General features: G+C 47.6%; 1 long non-coding RNA gene across 1 annotated transcript, besides 2 other annotated features; it reads right to left on the reverse strand.

Annotated features, from left to right (window-relative positions):
• Window positions 1–12,135: 12,135 nt before the first annotated feature.
• LINC02729 (long intergenic non-protein coding RNA 2729) lies at window positions 12,136–13,808 on the reverse strand. The gene is made up of 2 exons (NR_132279.1): window positions 13,688–13,808; window positions 12,136–12,569 (listed from the first exon to the last, which is right to left on the reverse strand). It is a non-coding gene; the product is annotated as a long intergenic non-protein coding RNA 2729 (long non-coding RNA).
• Window positions 16,411–16,705: an enhancer, noted in NCBI's record as "tiled region #4357; HepG2 Activating non-DNase unmatched - State 22:ReprW, and K562 Activating DNase matched - State 5:Enh". NCBI's record gives its function as "activates a minimal TATA promoter and a strong SV40 promoter by Sharpr-MPRA in HepG2 and K562 cells {active_cell/tissue: HepG2 | K562}" and the evidence as "EXISTENCE:reporter gene assay evidence [ECO:0000049][PMID:27701403]".
• Window positions 20,891–21,185: an enhancer, noted in NCBI's record as "tiled region #13094; K562 Activating DNase matched - State 9:DNaseU, and HepG2 Activating non-DNase unmatched - State 22:ReprW". NCBI's record gives its function as "activates a minimal TATA promoter and a strong SV40 promoter by Sharpr-MPRA in K562 cells, with weaker activation in HepG2 cells {active_cell/tissue: HepG2 | K562}" and the evidence as "EXISTENCE:reporter gene assay evidence [ECO:0000049][PMID:27701403]".

Below are 23,674 nucleotides of genomic sequence, written 5' to 3' on the forward strand. Positions count from 1 at the left end.
AGTTTGTCTACAATTATGAAACTAATAAGTGGCTGGGCTGGGATTCAAACCCAGGTCTTTTCCACCTCCAAACCTTTGTTTCTAAACCTACAGGACAGGGAAAAGGAATGAAATAGGAATGCTCACATTAGGTCTATGAGAGCAGCATAAATTCAGATGATCATAGCAGGAACTAGCCTAGAAACTGGATGGACGGTTTATGAGAGCTGACCAAGCAGAGGTTCATTTCAGCTGACTGGATGGTGGAATTTACCAATCATAGAACAAGGGCTTTGGAGAGCATATGGTGAACCTGACCAATGAGAGCTGCATATTGTGACAGATGGGTGATTAAACCGGCCAGGCAATAACTGAGAAAAGGGGATTATTCAGTGAAACTGACCAGTCACAGAGTCACAGGAAAGCCTGCATCTCTGTGTTGGGAACTTGCTCCTCGGAGAGGTGATCTGACCTAATGGCAAAAGGCCACTCTGAGCTCTGCCTGGCGCCAGGGTTCCAGGAAACAGGTCTGAAGCCATTCCTGTGCCAGCAGCAACTGCCAGCACGCCTTTGCTCATAGATCAGCCATGAGGTCAACGGTTTGAGTGACTCACCTCGTGAAAATGAGGCGGCAGTGTTGGGCCTTACTGTTTCTCTGTAAGCATTTAAATTGATTTTTCTGCCTGGTTAAATTCCCCCGCTTTGTTTTTATACAGAGGCTTAGGATGAAGCTGGATATCAGGTCCAAAGACACTACCAGGTAAAACAGCCCTCCTGCCCCGTGTCCTGCAAGATCCAGGCTCTGTGACCAATGAAACTGACTAATTGAAATCGCGGTCAGGTGTCAGTCATCCCAGGGACAGCCTTGCTGATAGTCACTGCTTGAGACAACCCCACTAGTCAACTGGCAGTCCAGGGAAGCCATCACCAAGGGCCTAGGGACATTTCTAACCCCCTCCTAAATCACCATATTGAGTGAGGATCCCACCCACTGCCACAAATGTCAAGAAATCACATGTCTTCAGGCCCCCACAAACCATGCGATGCCTCCCTCTTGGAAAGAAACTTCAGGAGCTCCAGGAGTTTGATATGGGGAGAATCTCCAGAGAAGGATAGGAGGCCCCAGCTGCTACAACCCTTAGAATTTACCTTGTGTAAAGTTTTTTCCTACTGCTGTCACCGGGTGTCACTCCCTCCACCCCTCATGGTGCTGCTCCCCAATTCAAACAGCCCTCCTGGCACAGGCAAACCATCTTGGTTTGGGTTGCCCAGAAGGCAGAACCTGAGACAAGGACTTGTTGAATGTTATCTACTTGGAAGGTGATCTGAGGACACAGATAGATAGGAGTAGCAAGAGTGAGATAGGGAAGTAGGAAAATCTAAAATGAGGGTGTTTCCTTGGACTCATGTCTATAGGTGTAGGGGCTCAATTCTTCTGGAATCTCTGAAAAGTTTATAGAACGTCTCCTGCAGTGTGCACCTGACAGGTGATACCCGGAGTCTTTATCCACCATCTCCCCTTACTGGTTGAAAATTGTTTCTAGGGAAGTTAACTGCCTTGTGCCTCTAGGCAGCATTTGCAGGTTGTAAGCAAGCTTCTGTGTCGTGAAAGAAACCTCAGATCAGAATCTGGAAAGACTCTGGCTCCTACTTGCGGTAGGACATTGAGACTGAGTCCAAGCTTGCACAGAACTGTCCACTACTGCTGTGGCTGAAATCAGGGGCAGGCCAGGGGTTTGTGGTGCAACACCAGAGGCTACACACACTCAACGGAACCTTCCTAAACAATTTTCTGAACTCTGAGAGCAAACAATAGGGAAATAAACTCAAAGGGAGCAAGAAACGGGATCCAGTGTATCTCAACCAAACTGGGATATATGGTATTCCACACTTCTACCCAAAAGGCATTGAAGAAATACCTACTGACTTTTGAATCCTATAAACTTGGGTTCAAATCCTGGCTCTGCCACTTGGTAGGTTAGTAGCCTTAGACATATCACCTGACTGCCCTAAGCCTCCATTTCCTAAAGTGTGTAATAGGGATTAAAATACTTAACCTTACAAAATAATTGTCTGCAAAGCCCTTGGGATATAGTAGGTCCTTTCTCAGCAAATGACCACTCTTACTAAAGGGCAGGCACATTTTCACACCCTCAAAGACTCATGCCAGAAGCCAGCTCTGAGCTCCAGGCTGCCCCTAAGGGAAGGTGGCCATTTCGCCTTCTCTAGTTAAGAGCTGCTTGGCATCTCAGTACTTTTAAGACCAAGACCAGATAGCGATATGGCCCCCACTGTCCTTGCCCTCAGAACTCTAACAGAACCATTTCTTGTCCTAGAGATTTGGCTCAAACTATTTAGCAGGTACAGGAGAATTAGGTCTGAGTGAGATGCAAAAATATCCAGGCATTAAAAAATGGAATGATGTGGAAAAGATCAGTCTTTGGAGAACTATCTTGACCTTTCCCTCAACAACTGAAGAACAAAATGAAACTTTCCTCTATAAAGGTTTGTTTCATGGTCTGGGTTTCCATACTGCTGGGTGAAGCAAGCAGGACATGGTAAAAAGCAAACTCAGATTCCAGAGGAGAGTGTCTCCATGTGTCACAGCCAAACCATCTATGTTCTTGAATTGTACTAAAAGATGACAGTATCTATAAAAGATATTTTAAAAACTTATCACCCTTATTTCAATTGTTTCCATATTTCCATTCTTGCTACTCTCCAAATTTCTCCTTTAAATGACCTGAAATTCGACTTATTTAATCTGGGTCAAAGGATCATGTGCATTAGTCCAAAACCCTCCTTCCCCTGACCTCCTCTACTTTGGGTGTCTGGGGTTGAGCAGGAGCCTCCATATCTGATCCCATCATGCAGACAATAGGTCTGCAGACAAACTTCTCCAGGAGGAGCCAGGAAAAGAGTCCTGCAGTAGGAGGAGAGAGACCGGGGCTCTGCTGTGAACAAGCATGTGACCTTAGGCAGGTGCCTCACCAACCTAGGCTCCAGTTTTCTTTTCTTTAAGGTGAGGGGCTTAGACAGGAGGAGCTCTGAGAGTCTGCGGATGTTATCCTTGCGGGCTTAAACAGAGGTCCCTGGACAGCCAGGATGTTCTGAGCCCCACCATGGCGTCCCTGGCCTGGCTAGGGGCTCCCGCAGGGCAGGATCACGTTGCCCCAGATTCCAGGACTGGCTGCGGCACAGACCCAGGATCAGGTGACAGATCCATCCAGCCTGGACTGGCTCAATCCCTCCACTACAGCCGCAGCCCTGGGGGCTGGAAAACCAGAGCTAATGCAAGCCAGCTGGAGGCCAGGACAAGATTGATGAAGGATAGGGAGAGGATTTGGCCAGGGTTTTTTTCAGTGCGGGAGGGTGGTAGAGAATAATTAGTCCTGCCTGCTTCCCAGAGGCCCTCAAGCTGGGCAAACTTCATTAATTGGGAACCCCCAGTGGGGAATTCCTGCTCATGACCCAGAAAAGGAAGAGCTCTTTAGGAGTTAATTAGTAGTGAAAGTGCCAATCAGGGAAAATGTTTAAACTATTAAATGTCTGAGCACCTGTTTACCTACAAACAACTGATACAGTAATTATCTCACCATCAAAGCAGGTCCTCTATGATAGTGATTACCAACCTCAGGAGAGCCTGAGGATCGCCTAGGAACCTTGTTAAGCATCCATCTCCAATGCAATGATCCTGATTGGTCAGCAGGAGTGAGAAGCATTGCTCTAAACCGTCCACTAGCCCAGGAGTTCTTGCCTCAATCTCAGTGGCTCCATGTATCAATAAGCAAGAAGTACTATTACCACTAGTCTTTCTATAATTCACTCAGCTTTACTATGCCCCAAGAACAATGCTAGGCCTTTAGCATTCATTGTCTTTTAATCCTCATAGCAGCCACGTGTGATAGGTGTTATTACCTCTTGTCTGCAGAAAATGACGTAATTGAGCTCAAAGAGGGGAAGAAACTCACTAGGTAAAATAAAGTTAGTAAGTGGCAGAGATTTTATTTGATCCTAGATATTTTGACTCCAGAGCCCAAATCTTCACTGCAATATTTTTAATGATCCCCAGTGTCTTTCCTGTCCTTTGAGTGATTAAGACAAGACTGCTATGCTTTTGAGGACAGTCATAGTGCTATTCAAGATATCCATAATACAGACGGGAAAACCAAGTCTCCAAAAGGGGACATTAATTGATTCAAAGAGTTCAAGCTTATGGCTCCCATGTTTGGGCCATTTTCTGTTAGACAAAACTATCACGTGGAATTATGAACTAGAAGGAAGAAGAGATGCTGGCCTCCAGTGCCAAATATCAATGTGTTGCACTGCTATTCAAGAAGCAGAGCAATTTAGTTAGGAGCATTGGGCTGTAATCATATCCATTCTACCAACACCAAGTGTGACCTGAGACAAGGCACTCACCTTCTGTGGGTCTCAGTTGCCCCATCTGTCAAATGGAAATGCCACTGTCTAGTCTGCCTTCTGCCTTGTGAGTGGAGAGTCAATGAGAGAAGAGTGCCATCATGGTGGAAGGGATCACTCCAACTGGTGTGTAACAGCTTTGACTTTAGGGGGCCTCTCATGCAACTACATGACAGCTTAGAGCTTGGCAAGACTTCCCTTTGAACCAGGGCCCCAGAGCCAATATTCTCCTTTCTGGATTTCAGGAGGCTAAAGAAAACACTTCCCAATATTCTCCAGAAAGCTGGCAAGATGGTTGACCAGTTGGCCCTCTAGGCCTTCTTCCTGTGACACCTGGATTTGACCTTATTGACCAGACAGGCCTTGTAGCCCTATCCCTCAGACCAAGAGCAGCCTCCTCCAGAGCCACCCTTACCTAAGGGCACCATCCGGATGCCTGCCTAGTTCCCTTCCGGCCCTGATGGAGGCATGAGCCTCCCCCACCGCCTGCTCACTGCTCACTCCTCGGCCGCCAGCCCAGCAGCTGTTGCCTCAGATCAGTGTGGACCATCTAATCCCCTCTCCAGAGCCCTGGCCCCCTCCTCAGGCAGTAAATTAAGGAGGATGTAAGAACAGAGGGCACCAGCGTCAGCAGAGCGGCATCCAAAACATCCTCCCCAACCCGCGCCTGAGTCACAGGGCCCTGAATTGGCCCCTCTCCTCCTGAAGCAGGGGAGGAGGAGGCCAGGACAACCAGGCCCGCGGGAAGAGGGAAGCAAGAACCCAGAGGAGGGAAAGGGCAGGGGGCTTGTAGAGAGGAACCAGGCCAAGCTCCTACGGGTGTTCCAGCTCAATCACTTTCACTGTGACTCTAGGAGACCCCAAATCTCTACTCCAGAGTGACACAAGACAGGGGACCCGGATGTCAGTTTCTTATTACGCCCTGACTTCCAATCCCGTCTGTTTCACATGCCGCACCCACCCCAGACCGTTGTGTCTCTATTCCTGAAATGGGCAGAGAATAGTCAACTGACAAGAGTCAGGAACACCTCATCCCGGGGCACATCCCAAATCCCTGTGTTGAGGGGCTGGGGCAGTAGAGGCATCTTTGGCAGCTAGCCTCACCTCCTGCCCCTGAGAGCATGGTCTACAGGACTGGCCTAAAATCCTATGACTTGCTGAATTAAAAACACCATCTAACACTCCCTATACAGACGGTATGCTGGGGCCCACACCAAGAGCTTTCCGATCTGACTCAGAACTATCAACAAACTGAAAATGCAGGAAGAGGTAGAAAGATGGCCAAATAACACTGGCATAGCATCCACAGGTATGACCCAGAAAGAAGGGCAATGTGGGGATGCTGCCCTGTTTTTCAGAGACGTCACCTGGAGAAGAGGCAGATGAATAATGTAGTGACAGAGATCGGAGTAGAATAATAAATCCCAGGGGCTTGAGATTTTAAGTCAGCAAAATCAATGCACCTTTCCAACTTCACCAAGATGTGGTAGGATAAGACTCGCCCCTCAGAAACAAAATAGAAATTTTCATGGGCACAAAGAAAATGAATTTGTTCAGGGGAAGGGAAACAATCCTATATGTCAAAAGCACCAAGGATTGTGTTTCAGGTTTGCTTTAAATGCCATTTATATGCTGATGACTGTCAAATGGCTATCCTCAGGCCAGATCTCTCAATCAACTCCAAACTCGTATCTATCAGCCTATGTGGTATCAATCACTTGGATATCCAATAGACCTCTCAAATTTAACCTATCCAAAACTAAATTCCTGATCACCCACAAACCCACTATATATACAGCCTTTCCCATCTCAGCTTATGGGTAACTCCCTCATTCATGTGGCTCAGGCAAAAACTTTGGCACTATGTCTTAATCTTTTCTTTGTCTCCCCTCTCTACTCCTAACACATCTACTCTGTCATGAGATTCCATTAGCTCTGCTTTCAAATACTATATCGAAAAGCTGACTACTTCCTACTCCTACCCCTGTTACCATGGTCAACCAAGCAATGGTTGTCTTGTAGCTGGGTTAGTGCAGTACAACCCCTCTCTACAAGCCCTCTTGCCTCTGCCCTTGCCCCAACCTCACACCCCCACCCCATCTATTCTCAGCACAGCAGCTAGAAGAATCCTTTTAAAAATCTAAGCTAGGGTTCGTAACTCTTTGCTCAAAGCCTCCAAAGCCCCTATTTCACTCAACCTAAAAGCCAAGGTCCTGGCAATGACTGCAAGGCTCTGCATGGTCTGGCTCTACTAACACTCGGACCTCATCTCCTCTACTCTCCTCCTTGCTCTGCTCCAGGTGCACCAACCTCCTCGCTGTGTCTCAAGCGTAACAGACATGATAGTGCCTTAGGACCTCTGTTGTAACTTTTCTCTCTGCCAGGAACGTTCTTCTACCAGATATCTACCTTACCAAATCCTCACTGTCTTCAAGTCTGCTCAAATCTCAGCAGGCCTTCCCTGACCACACTTTCACTGCAGTTGAACCTTCCCACCTTCTGGATCCTGAGCTCCTTTACCCTGGTTTGCTTTTTCTTTTCTTTTTAAATTGCATAACACCAACACTCTGCAAGTATATAATTCACTTTTGTATTAACTTTATGCTTCTTGACCACTCTCCCACCTAAAACATAAGCCTCATGGGATCTGTTCACTGCTGTGTCCTCAGGGCCAAGAACAGAACTTGGCCCATTCATGAACGAATGGAATCAATCAATCAAAGTTGTAAAGTGGAGAGGAATGTCCTCTAAAGCTCCCCTGGCCAGATCAAAGAAGTGGAGTTTGAGATATTGAAACATGTCCTGGGTCTTGCCCAGAAATGTATTTTAAGAAGTGATGGGGTCTTCATCCATCTGGATGTCCTGCTACAAGGGACTTGTGGCTGAATATCAAACATATCTCAGACCTTGAGGCACCTTTAATATAACCATACTTGTTGCTGATCAAATGGAAACTAGCAAAACAGCAGAAGCAACTTATTACCAATATTCATCTGGTTCACTCCATGTCTGCTGTGCTGTTCATACCTTCATAACTGAGTAAACTGCCCTTGTTCTTGACTTAGCCCTGTGCCTCAACTTTAGATGTCTGTCCTCACACTCGCAGCAGTCCAGACCTGCTTTATGAGAATGTCATTTATTGCCTTCTTTGGCCACTCAACTCAAATGGCTTATTTTTTTTTTTAATCAACTTTTGCTCCATTTCCTTTTTTACCACCTGGGTAAAAGAAGGCACTTAGATTAGTTTTCTATTGCTTTGTAACACACTACCACAAATTTGGTGGCCTAAAATAATACCTACAAAACATCAATTGTAATTAAGGAAATGCAAATCAAAACCATGATGTGATTCTACTTTATACCCACTGGCATAGTTCTAATAAAAAGGACAGATATAGCAAGTGTTGGTGTGCATGTATTCCCACTGTACACTCCTGGTGGGAGCTTAAACCAGTGAAGTCACTTTGGAAAACAGTCTGACCCTTCCTCAAAAAGTTGGACATAGAGTTACCATATGACCCAGCAATTCCACTCCTGGGTATATACCCAAGGGAATTGAAGATGTGTGACTACTCAAAAACTTCTCACAAATATTCATAGCAGCTTTATGCATAATAGCCAAAAAGCAGAAACAGCCCAAACCAAATGTCCGTTAACTGATGAATGGAGAAATATAATGTAGTATATCCATACAATGGAATGTTATTCAATCATAAAAAGAAATGAAGCACTGATCTATGCTACAACTTGGATGAACCTTGAAAACGTGCTAAGCAAAAGAATTCAGACACAAAAAGCCACATATTGTACAATGCCATTTATGTGAAATATCCAGAATAGGCAAATCCATAGAGACAGAAAGTAGATTAGTGATTTCTGGGGCTGGGGGAATGTAGAGTGATTACTTAATAAGTATGGGCTTTGTTTGGGGGCAGAGGCAATGAAAATGTTCTGGAATTATATAGAAATGATGGTTGTACAATTTTATGGCTATATTTAAAAAACTACTGAATTGTCCACTTAAAAAATGCCCATTTATTAGCTCACATTTCTGTAGGTCAGGAGTCTGGGAGGGCTTGGCTGAATTCTAATTTCAAGATCTCACAAGACTGAAATCAAGGTGTTGGGGGTGGGCATGAGACATATTGCAAGAATCTGCTTCCAAACTCGTTCACTTTGTGGGCAGATTACTGTCCTTGTGGTCATAGGGCTGAGGTCCCTATTCCTCACTGGCTGGCTGTCTCTCAGCACTTTAAGACTACTGGCATTCCTTCTTATATGGCCCTCTCTTTTTCAAACCAGCAGCAGCACATCAAGTCCTTCTTATGCTCCAAATCTCTCTGACTTCGCCTTCTGCCACCAGCCTAAGAGAGTTCTTTGCTGTTGGTGACTCAAGAGATTAGATTAGACTCCCTCAGATAATCTCCCCTCTCTAAGGTCAACTGTACCATACAACATAGCATAGCACAGTCAGGGGAGTATCATATTTACGGGTTCCAGTGAGTGTGGAGTCTTGGGAGCCATTCCTAGAAATTCTGCCATTACAGTATCTGAGAATTAGTTTAGGTAGACTTGCTGACAATTTGATCTCCCGGAAGGAGCAAGCATTCCCAAGCACCTGTTCCATCCACATGCTGGAGGTTCCATGAGTTACTCGTTTGTCTCCATGGTCCCCAGGCCAGTGCTAGTACATAATGCGTGCTTCAGTGAGTGCTCATTGAATGTTTGCTAAACGGTTCCTACTCTGTAAGGGGTCATTCATTGTTTACCGGGAAGGCAGACCCATACAAAACCCAGGAAGCTCCGGAGGCTGAGAGCCGTAAGAGGGAAGGTAAGCGCACGTGGTGTGAACACTTGGGAGGATGTGACATGGGGAATGGCTTCTTCTGACCAGTTAGATGAAGACAGGTTAGATGAAGACAGGTTCCTTCTGACCAGTTATATAAAGAAAGTAGCCCAGTCATTTCTGAGCTTGTGCTCACCATAGGGGTTATCCATAGGTGTTATTCATAGGGGTTATCCATAGGTGCTCACCATAGGGGTTATCCACATGAGATATATGCCAAGCATGTCCCCATTTTTGGAAGGCAAATCTCAAAAAGTGGGGGGAGGAGATAAATAGGCTCCTATGAGAAAATGTGCTATTCAAGGATAAAATAAGTTTAAATTTTAAATGCAAATGATTCCAAGAAAGAAGAAAAATGCGGGAAAAGCCAGGGGTAGGGGGGATAGTAGCCCGAGAGAACAATACAGAATTATATAAACTCTGCAGAGTGTCCTCTGATGCTCGCATTCATTCTTTCAGCAAATATCTACTGAGTGCTAACCATCTACTGAGGGCACTGTGTTAGGCACAAGAGCACATGGAGAAGCCAGGTGGGAAATGTGGTAGGCAGCCTCTACGATGGTCCCCAGTGATCCTCGCCTCCCATCACACTGTAATCACTTCCCTCTGATTATGAGTATCAGCAGAAGTAGTGGGTTGTCACTTCCACAATTAGGTTATAAATAGACGCGGCTCTGTTTAGGGTGCACGCTCTCAGTTCACTCACTCTAAGAGAAGCCAGTTGCCATGTTGGGAGTCGCCCCATGGAGAAGCCCACATGGCAAGGAGCATCAGCTCCAGCCAAAAGCCACGTGAATGAGCTAGACATGGATCCTCCCCTGGTGAAGCCTTGAGATGACTGCAACCCCAGCCAACACCTTCACTGCAGCCATGTGAGGGACCTGAGCCAGACTGCAGCTAAATTGATCCTGGATTCCTGACCCATAGAAACTGTACAACTATAAATGTGTTGTTTTAAGCTGCTAAATGTAAGTAGCAATAGGTAACTAACATAGGAAAGATTATAAAAGAGATTATAATACTCTCTAATAGTTACAATAAAGAATATATAGAGAATATACCAAAATCAGAGACAGGGCAAACACCTGAAGCTGAACCAAAGAGATGGCTTCAGAAAAGGGAGCAGGAAGGGAGAGGACCCCAATGGAGTGAGACTTAGGAAATTACTAATGGCAGCAAAAAAGGATTTCTTGTTTTGTTCAGGGTAAGAAAAGGAACAAAGAAGGCTTCTGTTGGGGCTGAGGGTGGTAGAGAAGCAGAACTCTCCAGCTTCATCTGCAGCTATTGTCTTCATATTGAGGTCCATGAGCCTCAAGCTGTGGCATTCCTTTCTCAAATGTGGCCACGAATGGAATTAGGTTTGGTTGGAGTAGACTGAAGAAGGAGACGTGGGGAGAGATTGTCCTAGAGCTCAGAGCTCTGCCAAGTACATTTTTCTCTTTAGGCCCGAGAAATCCCACTTTGAGTCCTGGGAGCACGTGAGGTGAAATGGGAGTTGCTGGTGACCTTTGAGATCTGGGGGATGGGAGGTGGCAGACATTGCCTTCATTTCCAGAAAGAATAAGGTGGATCCCAAGACACACAGATCAGGGTGCTGATGTTGATCTGGGGAGAGGGTCTAGAACAGATTCCAAAGGGATGATGTGTGAGCTCCAGGACCCAGCCCAGAGTTCTCTAAACAACTTAGGCCTACGCTTACCAGTTTTCTTGGCTTTTAAACAGCAAAGGATGAACAATCATTATCAAGATAAAGGTAAGGCTGTGAAAATGGCATGTCCTGATTTCATCTGGGCAATTGATACAGGCTTCATAAGTGGAAGAAAAATACAATCAGGATTGTTTGTAACCATTTGAATAGTTATGGCCAGAGATGACTAAAGGAACATTATCAAGGTATTCCCAGGAGACCCTCAGTCCCTCCTGGATACTACTACTAACAGTTAACATGTATTGTGAATTTCCACGGTACTGATAACTGTTCTAAGCACTTTCCATGGATCTTCTCATTTGAGTCTCAAAATCCTATGAGATATAATCAGCTCCATTTGACAGATCAGGAACATTAGGTGCAGGAAGTTTAAGTAACTTGACAAGGTTACACATTAGGATATCACAGAGCCAGGACAGGCATCCAGTGATCCAGACTTAATGCCTTTGCTTTAACCATGTGGTCCTATTGCCACAGAGATGGCAATGCCAATATTCTCCACCTGGAGAGAAGCAACTTGGCTCAGCCTGCATGAATATGAAGCAGGCTCAGATGCGGGGTGCGCATGCATGCAGCCCTATATTAGCGTGTGACTATGTGTGCAATGTGAATGTGCATATGCATGATATGTGCGTGCTGTGTGCTCTGAGCCAGGATGTTGCTGGGAAAAGCTGAAGGGAGAGGAGTGGGGCACTGAGAACCGTGCCCAGGGTGTTGGGAAGCAGCAAGAAGTTGGTCAGTGGGTCAAGCAGCCGGTCACCCGAGCAAAGAGGGTAACAGGTGGGCAGGGCTGTTGGGGAGGACTAGCCGGCTCCCACCTGCTGGGGCTGTCCATCAGCACTAATACTGGCAGTGCCTGAGGCCAGGACCCCCAGCAGGCCAGCCTCAGAGACACACCCTTCTAGGAGACATCCTTCCCAAGGTGGCAGAGACACCAAGTCCTGGCCCAGACCTAAGCAACCAGGTTCCACCCTGTTCCCTCTTACCCACCCTACGCCAGCGGCTAAAAGCTGCCTTGGCTAGCTCAGACCCTGAGAGCTAAGGGATGGGAAGGGTTCCGGTGGGGACACATGGCCAGTGGCTGTTCTTCCATATTCATCTGTCTTTAATATTCAGATGAATGGAAGTACATGACCTTGCTAGTGTTTTGGGGTAGGAAAGGCAAGAGAGTCCTCAGAAGTCATCTAAATCATGCCTTTTTATTTTTCAGATAAGTAAAACTGTGGTTCAAAGAGGCCCTGGGACCACCTGCGAAGATCCTGGGATTCATCAGGGGTCTGGTAAGAGCCAGAAGATTCGAACTGAAGTTTGGCTGCCTGGAGGGGAAGGGAGTCTTGCCTGGGTATGTCAGCAGGCGGAGGCTGTGAATAAGTGTGGTGGGGGAGATGAAATTTGGGGCTTCACAAATCCAGGTAGGGAGGGGGCCAAAGTCTGGCCAGCTGAGCAGGGCACAACCCGCAAGTGAGAGGCATGGAGAGTGAGGGAGCTGGAGCCGAAGTCATGATCTAGTGGAGGGGCAGGCACAGAGCTGGCAGGTGGTAGCACCAGGGCAGGGCTGGGCGCTGCAGGTCCAGCGTTGGAGAGTCTGGGATGGGGCTTGTGACTCCAGCGGGCCTGAGGACAGAGATGGAGGCCGGTGGGCAAAGCGGGGAGGATCTGGGCCGCGGCCGTGGGGGTGCTGGGGAGAGACGGGGGTGCGAGCACAGGGTCAGTGGGCGGGGAGGGACTGGAGAGCGCTGGGCAGGGCGAGGAGGTGGGAGCCGCGCTAGAGCGTGGGGAGGGGACCCGCAGTGGGCGCGCGGCCTTAGAGAGGGGCCAGGGCCGGGGCCGGGGCCGGGCCGGGGCTGCGGTGAGGGGAGGCGCGTGGCCGGCCGCCCCCAGCTGTGGCGTCGTTCAGGCCCGGCTTAGCGGTGCCGGGGCGAGGGATTAGGGGCAGTGGCCGCACCTGGCGGGGCGGCCGCAGGGCTAATGCTGTGTGACCGCCGCGGCCCCGCCCGACAACTGGCTTCATCCCGCCCTGGAGGCCTGTGGGCTCGTTAGCCCCGCCGGCGTGTGCGCGGGGTGCGGCTGCGGGCGGCGAGTGCACGTGTGCCGCGGGGGGCCCTGCCGCTGGCGCTGACGGCCACCGGCTGCGCCCAGCTCCAGGGGGTCCCAGGAGTGAGGCTGCCCCAGGGGCAGTGGGGGCGGGGGAACACTTGATTGTGTGCCCTGTGAGCTCTTGTCACTGTGTGATGGTGTGGTCCGGGGGGTCTGGGGGTGTCTCTCTGATATGACAATCCCTGTTATCACCCTATGTGGACCATGTGTCACTGTCCAGGACCTTAGCCCATATTCGGAGTATCTCTGTAACCAGACTGTCTATGGGACACCTCCATATTCTTAGTGTGTTTAGGGGTTTTGGGAAGAGCTTCCACCTTCCTTGGGACCTGCTGCTCAAGTTCCTTCTGCAGACACACCTCTGGGGCGCAAGACCCCCCACAAGCTCCTTCCCAGCAGCAATGTCTCAGCCATCCATCCTGCAGGGCCTCAGACCTCTGGTGCTGAGATGGAGACAGTGCCTAAGTTCTGGCACCTGGATTCCTGCCCTCCTTAAACTCAGGCCTGCTCCCTAAGCCCATCCTCATCCCAGGCCTAGCTCAGGGCCCCCAGACATGCTTTAACATGCCCCCTTTCCTACCAAAATAATTGGATCTGAATAAAGTTTGTGTTAGAACTGAGAAGTTTTATCTAACCTTATAGACGAGCCCCCAGGCCTTTGCACCTGCTGTTCCCTCTGCCTGGAAGGACACTCACTTCCCTTTTCCTAGAGCTCAGGAGCCACCTCCACTGGGAAGCCTTCCCTGCAGCAACACACTCCACACCATCCTTCCTTTTCCTTGCAGAACCTTGGATCACACCTGCTCCGGCTATTCTGATGTCATCTCCATCTCCTGGAGACAGTTGCTGCATGAGAACAAAGGCAGGGCCCAGACGAGGTCTGGAGGGATAAGCGGCAGGGATCTGGGCACTGAGCTGAGGCACTGGGCAGGCAGAGCCATTGCCCTCGCCCCTACCATGAACCCCTACAGAGATGCTGCTAGAACCTTGCTTTCTAAGGGGTAGGAGGGTCTGGCTGCCTCTGCCTCTACTCACCCCATAGACACACAGGCCTTCTCTCCATCCAGGGAGAACATAGCTGCCAAGAGCAGTCCTGCCCCCACACCAGGCTCCCCAGCAGTGAGGAGCTGGGCTGGGCTGTCCTCACCCGCCCTCTTGGCCTCACCCTGGCCCTTCCCTGGCCCTGCCTCGGGATGCCAGGACCCATAGCAGGTGCCTGGACAGGCTTGGGGATGGAAAGGGGGCTGGGCACAGAAGGCCAGCTTCTGGCCAAGAACAGAACTCATAGAGAAACAAGTTCCAGAATCCTCTTCATCCTCCTTTTCCCCACCCACTCTTTAGTTTTGTTAATAAATACAGCTACCATATACTAAGCACTTATTGTCTTCCTTTGCACAGTATTTGACACTGTATGTGCATTGTCTGTTTAATCCTAAATCAATCCTGAAGCGTAGATATTACCATCCTCATCTTTCTGATGAGGCAATAGAAATTCAGAGAGGCTATATCCCTTGTCCAAGGTCACCTGACTGGTCAGTGGCAGAGCCAAGATTCACACCCCACATCTTTCCATGCCCTTGTCCTCCAGTGCTGACCTCAGGCGCTGCTCTCCTCACCCTAGGTGGTGACTCTGTTATACCTCTGCCTCCCACATTAGCGTGGGAGCTGTGGGATAGCAAGGACTGTCCTGTCCTCTCAGTGAAGGAATTCCCAATGAAGGAATGAAAGAATGCTTGCGGAATATTAACTTGACTGTTAGAGGGCACAGCAGGGTAGTTACACACATGGGCTCAGGAGCCCAAGTGCTGGGGTTCAAATCTCAGCTCTTACTTGCTCTGTGACCTTAGGACACTAATATTTCTGTCTCAGTTTCCTCATCTATAAAATGGGCATGATAATAATATGCTGGTGTTGAGGAGACTGACTTAGGAAAAGTTCCTGTCCTATAGTAAGTAGTGCATGTGTTAGATATGACTCTTAGTATCTCCCACTAGATTAAAATGGGCCCACTCTCTGCTTGTATCCCCCGCACTTAGCACACAGCTTGCCTGTAGTAGGTCCTTCCCTTCCTCATCTATAAAATATGACTAAAAATATCCATCTGGCAAGATTAAGGGGATGTATGTAAAGTGCCTGGCACAGAGCAGAAGTTGGCATCAGTAGTAGCACCATTTGGGGGTGGGCTGTTGGTAGGATAATGGGGTGGGGGTAGAACCAGGTTGGGCTCTCCTGAATGTCTATTTTGGGATCCTGAGGCACAGTCTGCACCCAATGTCCTCCTCTTGCCCATGTACCATTCGGGCCCTGGTACAGAGGACACACAAAGCCTCACTCAGACGGCGGCCTCTCCACCACGTGGAGAAACCCCCATGCCAGTGGGTACCCTGGGACTAAAGTGCCTGATCTTCACCTCTTCTAGATCTTCCCCCATGGGACTGGCAGCTTAGTGCTTTGAGAATGGAGCCAGATGGACAGGGAGGCACCCGGGAGATCATCCCAAGCCAAACTTATTTAGGAGCAGAATCCTGTCTTCAGATAAATTCTTAGGTGAAACCCTGATACATAAAGCAGACAGAGGGGCCATTTTATTGCCATAAATTCATTTATAAGTTCACATGGATTACTGTTATTTCTTATAAAGTATGCTCTACTCACCAGCTACAAAAGAGCCTGGCACATAGTAGGCACTCATGAAAGAATTGTTGAATGAATGGTCAACCGGTGGAAGAAAAAATGAGGCTATTTTGATTAATGCAAATCTGTGAAATAAGGGGATACGTATGTATGATGGTTGAAGGATACTTCTGGCCCAAAATTCTGATCCAACATTTGTGGAATCCCTATAGCACTTCTGAATGGCCCAGGACTCCAGAGAACACAGTTTGAAATGACAAGTTTTCCTTTTGGTGGATGAGGACACTGAGGCCAGAGGGTCAGAGGCAGAGCCGGGCTAGAAGCCAGGCCTCCCAGTTCCCTCTCCAAGGCCTCAGGCCCTCCTCAGCCCCTCCATACATTGCATTCTAGGGCTCTGGGGTGGGGTTCTTCCTGTCCCTTTCACCCTGGCTGGGACGGCCTGTGTGCCAGGGGCTGCCATCCCACTCAGGCATTTCCCACCAGCCTCTGCCCCAAATCTAAGCCAGGCAGGAGCCAGGTTCCTCCCACTGACTCCAGGATGGGCTCTGTTCCTAATATCTGTCATCCAGGCAAGGAAGGCCCATGGCCCAAGATCCCTCTTGGAACCATGGGGCCCCAAGTGGCAGGTATCCCCAGTGAGTGACAGATTAGTAGAACCTACTTGGTAGGTGAGGAGCAGGGGGAATGAGCACAGCCACTGAGGGTCTGCCCAGGGGGAACACCAAGGAACACCCCAGAACATGGGCCCCACAGCAGCTGGGGGCATTTATGGGCCTTCCTATAAACTTCTGAGAGGGTAACTTTATCCTGCTTCTTTCAGCCAAGTATCCTCCTCCAGCAGCTGGTCACAAAGCTGGTTAATCTCCCAGAGTGCTCAGCTTAAAACCCGTGACTCACAGCACAGCCAGTGTGGGGGAGGGGGTGGCTGCCTCCAATACGTGGCGCCCAGAGTCAGCTGTTCTGGGGCCTTCTCTGGTTTCTCCAACTGAGTCCTGAGGTTTGGGGCCTTGTCTTCCTTCCTGGAGTCCTGCTTCTCACTGACCCCTACATACAAGCCATGAGAGGTCAGGGACCTGAGAGGAGGGCCAGTTCCAGGCCTTGGCTTTGGCCAAGCCCTCAGGCTATCCCAGAAATGACCAGAAGGCCTTGGCCTTCCAGAGAAGGGGAAGGTTTCAAGTGTAACTCTGGGAGGGGTTGGTCCTGAAATTGGGGTCCCTGCCTCACCTGCCCAGACCTGGAAAAATTCCCTTCAGCCATGACCCTCTCATGGCGGATCTTCATTCCCTGTCAGCATGTGACATGAAACCTGTGTATGGTGGCTGAAGTGAGCTAGCAAAAAGTAACACAAATGACAGGGGACCTCTGACTTGAGATCAGCAGAATAAACACAAGTCGAGTCAGGTAGAAAAGGTGGAGTAGTGTTTTGGCCTTGGAGAGACATGGGTTCAAGTCCCAACTCTGCCACCTACTAGCTGAATAGCTTCCCTGAGCCTCTGTTTCCTCCTCTGTAAAACTGGGATAGTAATAGCATTACCTTGGCGAGCTAATGTGAGAATCAAAACCTATTTTCCTGCTTAGTAGGTGGGAGCTATTAATATTATTGTTGTTATCGTCATCATCATACTGCTCAAAAAGCAGGAGAATCCATTTTCATTTGTCAGGGGACTTATGTTTGTATAGCGGGAGGGAAGCTAATGGTCTGAAAGGATTTCAGTGACACCTCTCACTTGGCAGGAAATCTATTCTGATGAATATGACTCTGTAAATGATAAGGGAGTATCTGCCAGCCAGTGGCATCGTGCTTGTTATGGTTGAAGACCTAACCCAAGAAACAGCTATAGCAGATACACGACGGAGGCTCCCACTGGTACCTCTACTGAGCAAAGCACAAATCGTGTGCTAACCCTTGCTCCTGTGATGCCAGTGATTCTCAATACCTTCTACTCCATCTGAAAAGTCCCATACTCATCCAAAGATTCCTGTGTGTAAGGAGGAATGAACCACTTTATAAGTTCCTGTTATGGGCCAGACACTATATTAAACACAAATATTTGACCATATCTAACCCTTACAACATCCCTTGGAGTGGGTATACTATTATCTACATGTGGTGGACCAATTATATTAATGAATCTAGTTCTTCACTCCTCCTCGTATTCATACCCTTTGCCTTATGATTTTGCAACTCTTCATATCAGGAGGCATATTGTGTATTTCTCCATGTCTCAGTTCTGAGTTCAGCCATGTAACTTGTTTTGACCCATGAGATATTAACATATATGAATCAGGCAGAGGTTTGGGAAATGTGCTTATGTTTCTGCTTGCACTTTTGCACCACTACCATTACCATGAAAACACGCCTAGGCTAGCCTGCTAGAGGTGAGGCCTGTGGAGCGCAGCTGAGTCGCCCAGTTCCCCAGCCAAGACCAGCCTGAGCCAGTAAAGTACAGCATGTGAGTGAGCCCAGCAGAGCCTAGGAAAACAGCCCAATCTAAATAGCCAACTGCAGACTCAGAAACTAAAGGCTTATTGTTTGAAGCCACTGGATTTTGGAGAGCGGCTTATTACACATAATTATCACGGTAATAGATAACAGATACATGCCATTAGAAAAAAAGACTTTATTTTTCAGAGCAGTCTCAGGTTCACAGTAAAATTGAGCAGAGCACAGAGAGTTCCTATATACCCCTGCACCTACACATGCACAGCCTCCCCCACTGTCAACATCCTGCACCAGAGGACATTTGTTATAATCAACAAACCAACACTGATGAAACTACATATCATCATCACCCAGAGTACACAATTTACATTAGCGTTTACTCTTTGTGATGTACATTCTATGGGCTTTGACAAAGCGATAATGACATGTATCCACCATTACAGTATCATACAAAATAGTTTTGCTGCCCTAAAAATTATCTGCACTCTGCTTATTCAACCCTCCATCCCCTCAACCCCTAGTTAACCACTGATCTTTTTACTGTCTCCATAGTTTGGCCTTTTCCAGAATGTCCTATAGTTGGACTCATGCAGCACGTGGCCTTCATCTTCATTTAGGACAAAAGAGAGGGAGATGGAAGGAGGGGCAGCGGGGCAAACCCTTTCACCTCTTCCTCTCTTCCTTGGGCACGGGCTATAAAATCACGGCAGCTATAAGTATTGTAGAAGCTTGTGTGTGTGAGATCCGGGCTTAACTATTGGGAATTCACAGGGGCTGATGGGTGTTAAACATCTCCAACATTCAGTAGGCAGGTCTGATCATTGAGTTTTGGACAGGTGAGAACTAACAGTAGCTGCTGGGTTTGTTTGGTTATTATTTATTTATTTATTTATTTATTTATTTATTTATTGAGAGAGAGAGAGAGGCAGAGAGAGAGTCTTACTCTGTCACCCAGGCTGGAGTGCAGTGGCACTATCACAGCTCACTGCATCCTCAACCCAGGCTCAAGCCATCTTCCCACTTCAGCCTCCCAAGTAGATGAGACTACAGGTGCTTACTACCACGCCCAGCTAATATTTTTATTTTTAGTAAAGATAGGGTCTCACTATGTTGCCAGGCTGTTCTCAAACTCAAGACCCAGGCTCAAAACCAGGTTGGTCTCAAACTCAAGCTGGATCACCTCAAGCAATCCTCCCACCTTGGCCTCCTGAAATGCTGGAATTCCAGGTGTGAGCCACCATGCCCAGCCAGTAGCTGCTGACTGAGTACTCACTATGTTCCTAGCTCTGTGCTTTGGATACACTTTTCCTGCATTCTCCTACTTCATAACCACAACAGCACTTTTTAAATTTATTTTACTTTATTTTATTTTATTTTATTTTTTGACACAGGGACTTGCTCTGTCACCCAGGCTGGAGGGCAGTGGCATGATCATAGCTCACTGCAGCCTCGACCTCCTGAGCTGAAGTGATCCTCCCACCTCTCAGCCTCCCAAGTGGGACTACAGGCACATGCCCCCATGGCCAGCTAATTTTTTTGTACTTTTTGTAGAGGCGGGGTTTCACCACGTTATGCAGGCTGGTCTCGAACTCCTGGGCTCAAGAGATCTACTCACCTCGGCCTACCGAAGTACTGGGATTACAAGCATAAGCCACCACGCCTGGTCACACAACAGCACTTTTTGAAACGTAAATTAATATTTCCACCTTTCATATGTGGAAATGGAGGCTCAGAGAGATTGAGGGACTTGTCAAAGTCACACGGTCAGTGGCAGAGTCATGAGTACACCCTAGGCAGTGTGACACCACAGCCCACTTGACTCCCACCACTTCCCTGCAAGGGGCACTCACTTCTCATCTTCCCTAAAGATTACCCCAGAACCTCTACTTCCTCCTCAGAGACATGACATCTGTATCCCTGGGAGACAGCCCCCCAACCTCTTGGCCTTATCTGCAAAATGAGAAGAGCATTTCTTATTTACCTAGCAGCAGTCAGCTTAGTATAGCAAATATTTCTTGCCTCCTTTTTTGTGTTCACATAATTTCCTGGGCATATCCCAGCCACCTCACCACATACAATATACATCTTACTGCCTAGGGCCCATGTCATTGCCAGACCCATAGCAGGTAGGCATATCAGTAGGATACAGATTAGACGGCTGTGATTACAAAAAGACCTAAAAATTTCAGTTTATTCTTTGCTTACATAAAATTCCACGTAGGTGGTTAAAGACTTATGTGGCAGCTTAATAATACTGGACACCCAGATTCTCTTTCTTTCTCATTGCTCTGCAGATCTTCAATCTGCAACTTCCATCACATGATCTAAGGTGGTATATTAGTTTCCCATTGCTGCTCAAACAAATTGCTACAAACTTAACGGCTTGAAGCAATTCAGACTTATCATCTTACAATTCCAGAGGTCAGAAGTCTGAATTGATCCTCAGAGGGCTAAGATCAAGGTTGGCAGAGCAGTGCTCCTTCTGAAGGCTCTAGAGGATAATTCATTCCCTGCCTTTTCTGGCTTCTAGAAGCTACCTGCATTCCTTGGCTCATGGCCACATCACTCCAACCTCTGCTTCCATAGCTACATTTTCCTCTCTGACTCTGACTTACCTGCCTCCTTCTTTCCCTTATAAGGACTCCTGTGAATACATTGGACCCACCTCGGGAATCCAGGATAATCTTCCCATCCACATCTGCAAAGTCCTTTTTGCCTTGTAACGTAATGTTTTCACAGGTTCTAGGGATTAGGATGTGCACATTTTGAGGAAGAGCCATTCTTCTGTCTACCAGATGGCCACTCCAGCTCCTGCCAATCACCCACATACCAACCAATGGGGAGAGGGAAAGAAGGCCAGCTCCTTCCCCTCAAAAGTCATAACTAAGAAGTTGCACACAAATTACTCCCACTCATACCCCATTGGCTACAACTTAGTCACATGGTCACAGCTAGCTGCAAGGGCATCTGGGAAATGTAGTCTTCTGCTAGATGGCCATGTGTTATGGACTAAATTGTGTCCTCACCTGGAAATTCATAGGTTGAAGCCGTAATCCCCAATGTGAGTGTATCTGGAGATAGGGCCTTTAAGGAGGTCATTAAAGTTAATTAAAATCATAAAAGTGGGGCCCTAATCCAATATGACAGGTGTCCTAACAAGAACAGAGACACCAGGGATGTGCATGCACAGAGAAAAGGTCATGTGAGTACACAGTGAGAAGGTGGCTGTCTGCAAGCCATGGAGAGAGGCCTCAGGAGAAATAACCTTGCTAGCACCTTGACCTTGGTCTTCCAGACTCCAGAACTGTGAGAAAATATATTTCTAGATTGAAGCCACCCAGTCTGTAGTATTTTGTTATGGGCTGCCCAAGCTGACTGATATACCATGTTTCCAAGTAAACATTATATCATTATGTTAAAAAAGTGAGGTATGGATATTGGAGGACAACTGGCTGTCTCTGTTGTGTCTCTAGCCAAACAAATGAATGAGTGATGCATGCTATATGTGGAGAAATCATAGCCTAGGATGCAGGACTGACCAGAAAATAGTGTCAATCTAATACGGAAAATGTCATGTTAGAAGCAATAATAATAGCAACAATTATGGAGCCACTTACTGTTTTTGCTGTTTTACATTCTTTACTTATGTTTATATATTTCATTCATATAATACATCCTTACAGATGAGGAAACTGAGACATGAGGACAGAGAGAGGGCACTGAGTCAGACTGGAAGCCAGAGATCTGGGGCCAGGCTATTAGAAAAGCTTCCTTATTGAGACATTCTGAACTGAATCTTCAAGGACAAGTGACAGGGTGGGCCATGAAAGGAGAGGGGAAATTCCTGGAAGAAGGAAATGGCAAGAGCAGAATTTTGGCCACATAAGTCATCCTGTTGGAGGAACCCATATTACTTCCCAGGGAACACTGAGCCATGTGGCCAGAAGATAAGTAGAAATGCATTCTGAAAGGCCTTGAATGCTATGCCAGGGCACTAGGACTTTATTCTGGAGGCAATGGGGAGCTCTGAAAGGGTTGTGCAAGGGGGACACTGCTAGATTTCTATTATAGAGTCATCAGTCCAGGGGCAGTGTTGGGACCAACTTAAAGGAGACTAAGAGTCAAGGCAGAGACACCAGCTATGAGGTTGCTACAATAGTGGAGATGAAGGCTGTCAGGGGCCACCCTACAACAGGGTAATTGGAGCAGAGAGATGAAGATGACTTCAAGAGATATTTAAGAGATGAAATCAGTAAGACTTAGTGGCCGATTAAATGAAGGTACAAGGGAGAAGAGGTGGGAGATGATGGCTAGGTCCTTACATTGGGTGACAAAGGAGGTAGTGGTGCTATTGAATGAGACAGAAAAATTTCCTGAGGACAGGCTGGATTCCAGGGGAAGGTAGTGAGCACATTTGGGGACATGATGAATTAGGGGAGCTTGTGAGATATTCAGGTGGAGATGTGAAATAGACAGTTGGATACATGAGTCTGAGGCTCGCAGGTGAGGGTTTGCTAGGGAAATGGATGTGGATGAATTTGTCTGTGTTCAGGTGGTGGGTATGTCTTGGAAATGAATAATGACTCCACAGAGAGTGAAGAAAGTATGGCCAAAGGTCAGAACCTGGAGGGAGCATCATCACTTCAGTGGCAGATGGAACAAGAGAAGACTGGGAAGTAGGTTTTAAAAGAATGGTCAGTGGTCAGAGCAGAACCAGAGAGGATGTTGTCTTGGAAACCAAGGGAATAGAACATTTTGAGCAAGAGGACATAGTCGTTGGTGACTTTAAAGGGCGTCCTATAAGGCAAGGACAGAGAAATGTCCCCTCAGCAATAATAAGGTTGTTGGTGGCTGTTTTGGTGAATAGGTGTCTCACCCACTTTCCTGTCTTTGGGAGTGAATGTGAAAGCAGGAGAAGAGGAGGAGGAGCCAGCGAATGAAGACACTCTAGAAACTTGATTGAAGATACCTAGGCATTATGCACCCCTGAGAGAAGAACACATCTCCTACAGAGCAGTCTTACCCAAACGAATCAAATCTTCATCTGACCAAGCCTCTATCCAACCAACAATTTACAGAAAATACAGAGAACAGGTGAACCTGTTAAAACACACCATAGGGGCCAGGCACACGCCTGTAATCCCAGCACTTTGGGAGGCCGAGGCGGGTGGATCAGGAGGTCAGGAGATCGAGACCATCCTTGCTAACACAGTGAAACCCCGTCTCTGCTAAAAACTACAAAAAAAATTAGCCGGGCGTGGTGGCGGGCACCTGTAGTCCCAGCTACTCAGGAGGCTGAGGCAGGAGAATGGAGTGAACCCGGGAGGCAGAGCTTGCAGTGAGCCGAGATCGCGCCACTGCACTGCAGCCTGGGTGACAGAGCAAGACTTCGTCTCAAAAAACAAACAAACAAACAAACAAACAAAAACACCATGGGGATGCAATCTGAAAATCCCAGACTATAACAAACTGCAGAACAAGCAACCCAGTTTCCCAGTTTTTAAAAGTAAATAAATCGCAAGGGGAAAAAAGATACGGAGGGAAA

The sequence above is a fragment of the Homo sapiens genome, chromosome 11, assembly GCF_000001405.40.
Source record: "Homo sapiens chromosome 11, GRCh38.p14 Primary Assembly".
NCBI classification, from domain to species: Eukaryota; Metazoa; Chordata; class Mammalia; order Primates; family Hominidae; genus Homo; species Homo sapiens.